Consider the following 10,808-nt stretch of genomic DNA (forward strand, 5'->3'; position numbering starts at 1 on the left):
GGTATAAATAAAATATATTGATAATCACAGTGAATATAAATAGATTAAAGTGACCTGTTAAAAATCTGAAGCCATTCAGTCATCATGACCTTGTTCCACCATCTCAAGCAGGAAGGAAGGGTGGAAAAGCTGTCCCCACTGAGGTCTGATGTTTTAGTCTCCACAGAATTGCCACAACATCTCATTGGTGAAACTGAGGTCATGCCCCCTCCTCGCCTGGCCAATGGTGTAAATAACCATGACGCGTTTATACTAGTCTTGATTAACAAGTCATGACTTTCATTCCCTGGGACTGAGGAGGGACCTTTCCCAGAGATCAAGTGGGAGATTTTATTATCTTTTTATTAGAAAGTGATAGATCAAGAAAATCAGCAGATAAAAGAAAGGATATAGAAGATTAGAATAATACAATAAAGAATTGTGACCACACCAGAATGAGAGGTCATATACCTTTCAAACACCCCAAGAACATTGATTATATTGCTACTTTTTACTTGGGCATGTATTTTTTTTTTTTTTTTAGTTTCCAAATATATGAATTTTATGACTTTTAACAAATATCTTTTTATCGTGAACTTCAAATTTAATTGCATTGATGTCGGAAAACGTAGTATTACTCATTCTTGGAACTTTGTTGTAACTTGCTTTTTAACCTCAAATATAAGGATATCGTTTCAAGACCATTGGAAATAGCTGCAGTGTGATAAATGTAAGGGTAAGAAGAGAGTGTTACAGGAGTGTTTACCATCAGTTTGCGCATGTCCAAGTCATATGCCTGGTAGGAAAACTTTAAATTTGGGATCACACATTTTTGCCTATGCCATTTCTATTCATTAGGTTCATAGCTGTTTCTTGTTTACTGCCTTGGTTAGACCTGTGATGAGACAGAGCACTGCTGATGGTGGGTACCTAGTCATCAGTTTAAGTTTTCTGTTTTGAGTGAAATATCCATTTAATCAAAGTTTCCAAGTTCATTCTTACTAAATAGTTCAAAATATTCACCTATGACTTCTAAAGTCTCTACTGTATCTGTAGTTTTTTTTGAGTATTAAATCGTTTATTGATTACACATGATAATGAATGATACACAAACTTCATTTCCATCTATAATTTTATCTGGTTCCAGATTCAATTTAGATATATTGCATAGGATGGGCCAACAATCATTTTTATAACCAATAATTCCATGATTTTGCTTGGGTAATCCCTTTTAATGGTGAACTTCAGATCGCAACAGTAACCATCAGTTCACCTACACCAAGGTTTCTGAAGACAATGGCTTCTCCACCCAAGCAGGTTGTATATAAACTCCAAAAAGAACCTGGCATCACCCTGAAGGAATTCTAACTTCACACTCTTGGGGAAAATTTACCAAGATGGCTTCAGAGCAGACTAACTTTATACAGCACATTAAAAAAAAAAGACATTTATTCAGTATCACAATCAGACTATTACATTTAGCAATCAACAGCATGGGTGCCAAAAAAAAAAATCTGTATTAAAACCCTTTGTTGGAATGCTTTACACTTTCCACAGAACAGAAACTAAAATAACCTGTTGTACAGTTAGTCACAAATACAGTCCTCAGTTTTTTGCCCATACACATGAGTATTTGTCTAAAATATGTCTTCTTTGTAGCAGCTAGGCCCTGCCACCACTGTGCTTGGCTGAGTTCACAAATCCGTTGTAACCTGTAGCTTCCCTGACACTTCTCTGGCTCTCCTCTCCGGCTAAGCTTTGTTTCCTAATTAAAATCTTCTGCCACTGCCTTAGCTACTGCTGCTACTGGAACTGCCCTAGCCACCTTGGTTTCATGGTTTGGCAAAGTATTGGCCTCTACCACCATAGGGACCAGAGCTTCTGCCTCCAAAGTTTCCTCCCTTCATGGGTCCAAAATTTGAAGACTGATTGTTGTAATTGCCAAAATCATTGTAGCTTCCACCACCTCCAAAATAGCTTCCATCATTACCAAATCCATTATAGCCATCCGCCCTGCCACCATATCCACCACCATCATGGCTGCCACCAAAGCCACCATGACCACTGAAGTTTCCTCCATGACCAAAGTTGTCATTCCCACTGAAACCACCTCCACGACCACCACCAAAGTTTCCAGAACCACTTCACCTCTTTGGCTGAAAGAAGCACTCACCATCTCTTGCTTTGACAGGGCTTTCCTAACTTCACAGTTGTGGCCATTCACAGGATGGCATTTCTGAATGACAGTCTTATCCACGGAGTCATGGTCGTCAAAAGTTACAAAGGCAAAGCCCCTTTTCTTGCCACTGCCTCGGTCAGTCATGATTTCAGTCACTTCAGTTTTTCCAAACTGTTCAAAATAATCTCTTCAAAATAATCTCTTAGGTGATGTTCTTCAGTGTCTTTAATGCCACCAACAAATGCCTTTTTCACAGTTAAGTGGGCATCTGGTGTTTGAGAATCTTCTCTTGAGACAGCTCTCTTTGGTTCCACAACTCTTCCATCCACCTTGTGTGGCCTTGCATTCGTGGCTGCTTCCACCTCCTCCGCAGTGGCATAGTGACAAACCCAAAGCCCCTGGAGCAATTGGTGTTTGGGTCTCTCATTACCACACAGTCCAGGAGCATTCCCCATTGCTCAGAATGGCTCCTCAGGCTCTCATTGGTTGTTTCAAAGCTCAACCCTCCAATGAAGAGCTTCCTCAGCTATTCGGGCTCTTTAGGAGACTCTGACTTAGACAGGACGGCAGGGAGAAGAGAGACTTTAATGATGTTTTTTCAGCAGCATCCACGAGCAGAAAGTAGCAAGCTGACGAATCGTATCTGTAGTTTTGATGCCCTTTTCAATTCTTTTTAAAAAAAAAAAAAAAGAATTATAAAGAGGATCAACAAAAGAACACATCAATGCAGTCAGCTCTCTGTATATAGGGGTTTCACATCTGTGGATTCAGCCAATTGTAGTCAAAAATATTTGGGGGAAAAACAATTTAAAAATACAACAATAAAACATAATAAAAATTTTAAAATACAATATAACAGCTACTTACATAACATTTACATTGTATTAGGTATTATGAGTAATCTAGATGTGCATAGGTTATATGCAAATACTACACCATTTTATATAAGGGACCTGAGGATTTTGGTAGCTGTGGGGGCCCTGGAATCAATCCCCCTCAGATACTGAGGGACGACTATATGCAGTTATCTGATAAAACTAGTAAAATAGTCATCCTTCTGTTAAGAAAAGAAATAAGAAAACATGAATAATATTGTACGTAATCGAAGGTCCCTTTGGATTCTAAAATTCCACAATTCTATGGTTGTGGGTTATCAAGTGCCCACCAGGTGGCTTTGCCTGTCCAGCTTCAGCCTCTCTGCCATTCCACGTGGTTGCTAAACCCTAGGACAATCCAGGGATGGAGGCAACGCTCTGTGTCCCACCGACGTGGTATGTCCACTAGCTCACGCAGTTAGAAGAGAAAACACAGCTGAATGCACTGACTGTACTGTAGTCATTGCTCACAGCAGGTGGCTCTGTAATGTGCTCCTCTAGGCTCTAGAATACCTGCAATGTAACAGGGACTGTGCACAGTAAGGAGATTCCAGAGGTGGAGACAGAGATGCACACCCCACCCTCAAAAATGGCAGTCTCTCAGGAAGACAGCCATGAAGTAAGTAAGTACACAAACAGTGAGGATGAAAAGTACTGTGCAAGAGAAGGATAGGGTGCAGTAATGGGATTGATGGAGTCTGTGAGGATACCAAGTGAACAGGGTGGCTGAGGGCCAGAAGTGAGGTAGGGAGGGTGGGAAATTTTATATGGAGAAAGCCACTTAGTGTGTTTAAGAAACCCAGTAGGCTGGGCTGGCCTGAACCTACAGAACGTCGGAAAGAGGTAGAAGCTTTTAGGAATTGGAGGCTTTCTCCTGGGGCAGTGGGGAGCCACAGGATGGTTTTTACCACCACCGCTGGTTAAGCACCTAAAAGAAAGCCCACATCTCAGTAACCATGATCTGTAGTTAGCCTCTTATTTCCCAACAAAATCGTATGTCTCCCATTCAAAAAAACAAAGGCCACTAGTAGATATCCCATGTCCGATACCTACCTATTAGTGGATTAAATGCTTTCTTTTCCGTTAAACCATTAAACTTTTTATATTTTTTAGCTTGAAATAGGCTTGCAATATAATAAGCTGTCTGGGTTTTTCTTTTAAACTGCATGGATTTTAAACTGTATTTACCACAATGTATATTTTAATAATGTCTTGGGGCATGTGTTCTGGCTGCCTGCGTTATTATCATATTGACTGTTGTCCATGAATTGTTGACACGTGTTTCATTGGGACACCTTCTGCCATTTCTCTGTCACCGTGCCTGGCATCAGAACTCAGGAAGTGTGGTACCTCAGCTTGGATTAATTGAAGAGGAGATTCCATGCTAATTCTTGGCAATCTCAGTCTCTTATCTCCCTAAATTTCCATTTTCCATAAGGAACAAAAGGGAAAACAACCTGTGTAACCACCAAACTCCTGTCATCTATTGTTACATTAACTCATGGGTCATTTGTCACAGCAGTGTGACTTCAGGAGAGAAAACAAAACGCTTCTCAGGAACCAATATATTTTGTCAACAGCACCCGGATGCTAACTATCGTGTTTGTATGAAATGTGTGTTCTAAACTGATGCATTTGTTTGACAACTTTATTGATATTTCAAGTTGGATAATCATTTATGTTTGAGCATTTAGTTCTTCAGATACTTTGCCATTTAAAAGCTTTATACTTTCTCTGATCAATGATTCACCAAAGGGTTTGTAGCAATGTCAGGCTTGGCATAAATTAGTTTGTAAATTTGCCCTTCTAAAAGATGTTTGGATTTAGCAGATATTTCCTTAGGATTTCATAGTTATGTAACAAAACTTTTTTTATTGCAGCAGTAACTTACAGACCAAAACATACACACATATATCTATGTATAATTTTGATGTATATATGTGAGAGTTATATGTTTAGTTGTGATATATATATATTTGTGTGTGTGTGTGAAAGCAATAAACAAATACAGTAACTTCTAAACATATCTAATTTTAAATGTCTGTCCTATATAATGGTGAACTACTGAGCTAGTAAGCTGGAAAAAATGGAATAAAGTGGGGGAAATGGCTACATTTATGTTTATCACATCCTTAAAGGCATAATTTGAAAAATAATTCCCCAAGGAACTACTTATCAACCCAATCCTTTATTTTAGTAATTAGAAATACTAACAAATAATGACATTACTAATTGAAATATTAATTTTGATAAGCTCTTATTCCTCTACTAAAATGGCTTTCTGAAAGTATCACAAGAAGTTAATGAATTGCATGTTAATTAAATTTGAACTTTTCTCCTCTAGTATTCAAATGGGAAAAACAGAAATATAATACATTCAAATTTCTTTGTACTAAGTTGAACGTTAATGGCAATATAAATATAATATATGGTAATGTTACACATGAATGTGATAAGAATCTGTAATATTCATAATGGAATTTGCTAATTTTGAATATTGATTTGTCTTTTAAGTTCATTTTGTTCTGCAAATTTAGATGCTGAAATGATGTTTTACTAGCATTTCCTAATTAGTCAAGTGCAACTTTTTATGAAAAATTTAAATATTCTCATTCAACTAACAAGTTCATGTATCTTTTCTCCTCTTGTTTTGTTAGCCTCTTAGCAAATATCCGGCTGTGATCAATGATATTTCATTCTGGTTGCCCTCTGAGAATTACGCAGAAAATGATTTCTATGACTTAGTCCGAACAATTGGAGGAGACCTGGTGGAAAAGGTTGATCTCATAGACAAGTTTGTACATCCAAAGTAAGTGAAAAGCTTTCTGATTTTACCCTTGACTATCTCTGTGTGATAAATGTCATGTGGAAGCATATCATAAAATTTGCTGAAACCCAGGGTATCTGAGACAAAATGTCTTCTGAATTTGTAGTGAATGTATAGCTTATCAGAAAACTCTTTGATATCAGTCGTCTCTGAAAATCTTTCCAAGATGCATTTTCCATCTTTCCTGCCTTAGTAAAGAAAATATATGAAACAGAATCTTTTAAAAGTCCTGCAGCTTTTCAGTATTGTTTTTGGAAGTGACTTCTTACCTTAGCATGTTCCAGGTGCAGAGGAAATGGGCAGAAAGAGCAGTTTGTGGAGTAGAAGCTGTTTTGATAGTCTCTCAGCAAATATTTGTTAAGCACTTACCACACGCCAAGATCTATATTACGTCCTAGGAATTAAATGTGTTCCAAACAGACTTAGCTCTGCCTTCTTGGAACTTATAGTCTTGTGAGAGAGGCAGACGTTAAATACATAATTATGAAAGCATGCTATTATGAGGGAAAAATGCATTGGGTGTCATCAAAAAACTAATTTCATGTGGGGAGTCAGGGCAGGCCACTTTGAGACATGGAAGCTGAGAACAGAAGGATGATGGGCAGTGAAGAAAGAAGAAGGAGCATCGCAGATAGCACATGGGAGTCCTGGGGGGAAAAGGGCACATGAGATGCAGAAGGCAGCCAAGAACACGGCAGCTCAAGGACCAAGGGGGAGGCTGTGTAAAGTGATGATTGTTGGGTAGTGATGTGTTTCCAGGGCCAGGTGGGCCTGGAACCTGCAAGGTCTCAGACTTGGAATTTTACCCTAATTGTAGTGGGAAGCTATAGAAGGATAGGAGCAGAGAGATAAGTGACGTGATTTGATTTGCATTTCTGACTGGTCACCTTTAAATGGTCCCCTTTGGCTCCTAGCTGTTAGAGAAGAAACAGTCACCAAATCCTGTCTAATTCACACCTCCATTTTCCCTTCCCCGCCTGATTGTTCCAGGTGTGTCATATCTAAATTGTCAGGGCTCCTGGCTCCCACGTTATATCCTGTCATTCAGACTCCCACCTGTTTCCTTCTTTGTCTTTTTTTTTTTTTTTTGAGACGGAGTCTCGCTCTGTCGCCCAGGCTGGAGTGCAGTGATGCGATCTCGGCTCACTGCAAGCTCCGCCTCCCAGGTTCACGCCGTTCTCCTGCCTCAGCCTCCTGAGTAGCTGGGACTACAGGCGCCTGCTACGGCCCCCGGCTAATTTTTTTGTATTTTTTAGTAGAGACAGGGTTTCACCGTGGTCTCCATCTCCTGACCTCATGATCCGCCCGCCTGGGCCTCCCAAAGTGCTGTGATTACAGGCGTGAGCCATCGCGCTGGGCTGCCTTCTTTGTCTTTTAAAGCATTCATTCTCTAGATAAAGATGTTCAGTGTTCACTGCCAATTGTTTTGCCTCCCTTTCCCCAATTATCTAAATGACTGAAGTTCATCATCTAGAATTTTGCTCAACAACTTGTGGAAACAATAGTCCCTGAGCTCTCGCATGTTCAAAACTGTTTATCTGTTTATACTTGAATAACAGTTTGGTTGGAAGTAAAATCTTGGCTTGGTCTTTCTTTTTGGGAGGATCTTGTAAGTGCTGCTCGATTGTCCTCTCAAGTTTAATTTCATATAAAGAAATCTGATGCCATACTTGATCTTTTTGCTTTTTGTTTTAAAGGATTCCTTCTTTATCTTTCAAGTTTATTATCTTTATCAGGCTCCACCTCAGTATTGATCTTTTCTCCCTAGTATATATCATTGTGTTTCACAAATTGGATTGGACTCTTATTTATTTTAGGAAAATTTTCTTGAATTATATCTTTAGGGATTTGTTCTGATCCATTGTTCTGTTCTGTTTCATTCTTCAGGGATCCAGTTATGCATAAGTAGGCTCTCCTTTGTCTGACTTCTGTACCTATTATTTTCTCTCTAATGTTTTAAAATTCTCATTTCCGCTTCATTTGGTATGCTCTCCTCATTGTTATCTTCTCTGTCCCTTACTGTGTTTTCTTCTGTCTTTTCTCCCTTGTGTACCTTCCATCTGTAGTTACTTTGCTTTTCTCCCCGTTCTGGGTTCTGCAAGCTCACATTTTAGCTCCCCCTGCTTTCTTGCCATCTCTTCTCTGAGTTATTTCTGCTTTCTGGTCTTCCTTCATAGAGAAATTGCTTCACTACATTTTAAAAATTGATTGTAAAATATTTAGCCAGAAATTTCGTATGCTCCAATGGCAACATTTTTCTGTGACTTTTCTGTTTCTCTGCCATTGTCCTCTTTTTTCCCTCAATTCTTTTTTAATTGATCTGTCAGTGGTGTGCATATGATCGCTTTTTTGCCGCTCATATTTGAATGCATTGGGTTTCCTGGACCAGCTATTTGCACAAGACTAGGGGGAGGTTGAGGGTTGGCATAGCAGGCAGGGGCTGGGATAGACATTCAACCTAGCTTGTTTTCATGCTCTTAAGGCTTTATTTTTCTAGAATGCCAAGAAACCAACTTTCTTTAAACATGACTCATCTCTTCGATTTTCTTGTATAGGTCTTCCTCCCACCCCAAATCTACACTTGTTAGAAACAGAATAATTACCTTTGCTTACTCCATTATCAACACTTGGAGATAGAGACTTTACACTTCAGATTGTAACCCATAGCTCTTAAAAAAAAAAAAAAAAAAAAAAAAACAACGAAACAAACAAACAAAAAAACCATGTTTTTGCTGGAGTTTTCTGAGATGTGCCACTCTGTGTGTTTCTTCTCTTCACTTCCTCTCATTTGGCTTCTACTTGATTTCAGCTGCTGTTGGCAGCCTTTAAATATATTTTGGAGCTTGCAGATGATATCTGTCTCCTAACTTTACAGAAAATAGAATGTATGGGGTAGTCTGGATCCCTGATGCTGTGGAGTGCCAATTCAGCCCTGGACTTTTATGTGAGAAAGAAATTTCCAGGAGTTTCCATGTTGATACTAGAAGTCTAGTTATTTACATTTGAAGAGAAGGAAAAATATTGGAACAAGACTGATTGCTGAGTACTAATTGATATGCCAAAGGCATGTGACTTGTAATTTTTTCCCATTCTTTTTTAGTACAAGTTGAGTATCCCTTATCCAAAAAATGCTTGGGGCCAGAAGTGTTTCAGAGTTTGGATCTTCTCAGATGTTGGAATATTTGCATATATGTAATGAGATATCTTGGGGATGGGACCCAAGTCTAAACACAAAATTTCTTTCATATATACCTTATACGTGTATCCTGAAGGTAATTTTATACAATATTTTTAAAAATTTGTGCATAAAATAAAGTTTATGTATATTGAATAATCAGAAAGCTTCAGATTTTGGAGCAGTTTGGATTTTGGATCTTTAGATTAGAGATGCTCAACCTACAGAAAACTCTGGAATCAGGGATTTGGAATTCATTCTTAATTTTTGAGGTCACAGTCCCTTACTTTCTGATATGGCCGTAGCTTCACCCTTGCCAGCGTCAAAAGTGGGATGAGTAACCCTTTCGCACTGGAGATTTTCAGAACCTACTAGGTTACAGAGAGATGCTAAAAACCTAGGAAGCTGAGAGAAATTTCTGTTGTGCTGGATGTGGGGGGTAGATGTCACTTGAGGAGGGGGTAAACATTGAATCTTTTTGATAATTTGGTAGTGTTCAAGGGGAATGCTGAATGGGCATGCTAACTGGAAAGACTGCAGTGGGAGTAGGGTAGTGTTGGGGTCCTGTGGACCCAGGGACAGATCAGGCAGGCAGACACCCCATTAAAAAAAATCACTGAAAAAAATAAATATTTTTCTAAAAAAAATAGAGTATTAGAAATACTCTTAATGCAGGTATACACACACAACCCCATACTGACCTGCTAAAAGGTGAACTTATTCAGTTCCTTCTGAAGGAGACAGTACTTTTGATTAGAAATTTGAAAACATTCTTCATTGGCACTGATCTTACAATGTCTTGAATACATATTGTACAGATATTTATAGACTATTTTTTTGGAGCTATGCCAAAGGGCATGGCTGCCAAGGGCATGTGTCCCTTATTAAGAAATAAGGGGCTTGGTGATTGGAGTAAGGTTCCTGTGGCAGAGATTGCTAATTATCTCTCAATATCCAATTCCCCCTGCCCCCGTCCTTCTGCCTCATGCCATTGTTGTAATAACAAAAACCTGGTTTTTTAGCTCAGCAATTTTCCACTCAGCTAGAAGTCTATACTTCTAAATTGGCCAATGATTTGTAAGTAGATGTGTTTAGTGGTATTTCCAGAAGTTTCTTTAAAAGTTGAATTGAGGGTATTCTTTTTTCTTCCTGCTACTTCATTGTGACTGTGATGGCTAGTATTCTTGCAGCCATTTTGGGCCATGGTGCGGACTTGGCAATGGAGACTGTATGGAGTGGAGCAACAACATAGAAGAAATAGCCTGGGGCTTGAATCTGTGTCACTTCAGCCCTGGACTTGTAGCTGAGAGAGAAATACCTTGTTTAGGCCACTTATTTTTTAGATCTCATTATTGACAGCCAAAGCAAAACCTAGCTATTACAGTACTGGGAAATATACCTGAGGAAAAGGACACATTATTTAGTAATGATGGCTTACTGTGCAGTGATCCTCAATAAGTATCTAGGGCAAGGGCTGACCAGATTGTGAATATTTTTGACGTTGTGGGTCATAAGATTTCTCTCGTAACTACTCAAGTCTGCAAGTGCAAAAGCAGTCACAGATAAAATATAAACAAAGGAGCCTGGTTGTGTTCCAATGAAGCTTTGACTACAATATCAGACAGTGGAATGTGAATTTGGCCCATGGGCTGTAGGTTGCTAACCCTTGATTTGGGGGAGGGGGATACATGAAGTTTTTTTTGAAGACTCTGACTCCCAAATTCCAAAACCCTCTACTGGGAGATCATCCTTCCTTGAGCACCCTGTGCCCAT

The 10,808-nt window shown here is 39.0% G+C and overlaps 1 protein-coding gene and 1 pseudogene across 15 annotated transcripts in view; one reads left to right on the forward strand and one right to left on the reverse strand.

Moving 5' to 3' along the window:
- Positions 1-10,808, forward strand: part of FARS2 (phenylalanyl-tRNA synthetase 2, mitochondrial) — a 521,650-nt gene that overhangs the window by 357,545 nt on the left and 153,297 nt on the right. For all 15 annotated transcript variants that reach the window (XM_047418086.1, NM_001374878.1, NM_001318872.2 and 12 more), the window contains one exon: positions 5,691-5,842. In XM_047418086.1, coding sequence (XP_047274042.1) covers positions 5,691-5,842 — 152 coding nt within the window. The remainder of the gene's footprint in view (positions 1-5,690; positions 5,843-10,808) is intronic.
- HNRNPA1P37 (heterogeneous nuclear ribonucleoprotein A1 pseudogene 37) lies at positions 1,253-2,803 on the reverse strand (annotated as a pseudogene).

Source organism: Homo sapiens, chromosome 6 (assembly GCF_000001405.40).
Source record: "Homo sapiens chromosome 6, GRCh38.p14 Primary Assembly".
Lineage (NCBI taxonomy): Eukaryota > Metazoa > Chordata > Mammalia > Primates > Hominidae > Homo > Homo sapiens.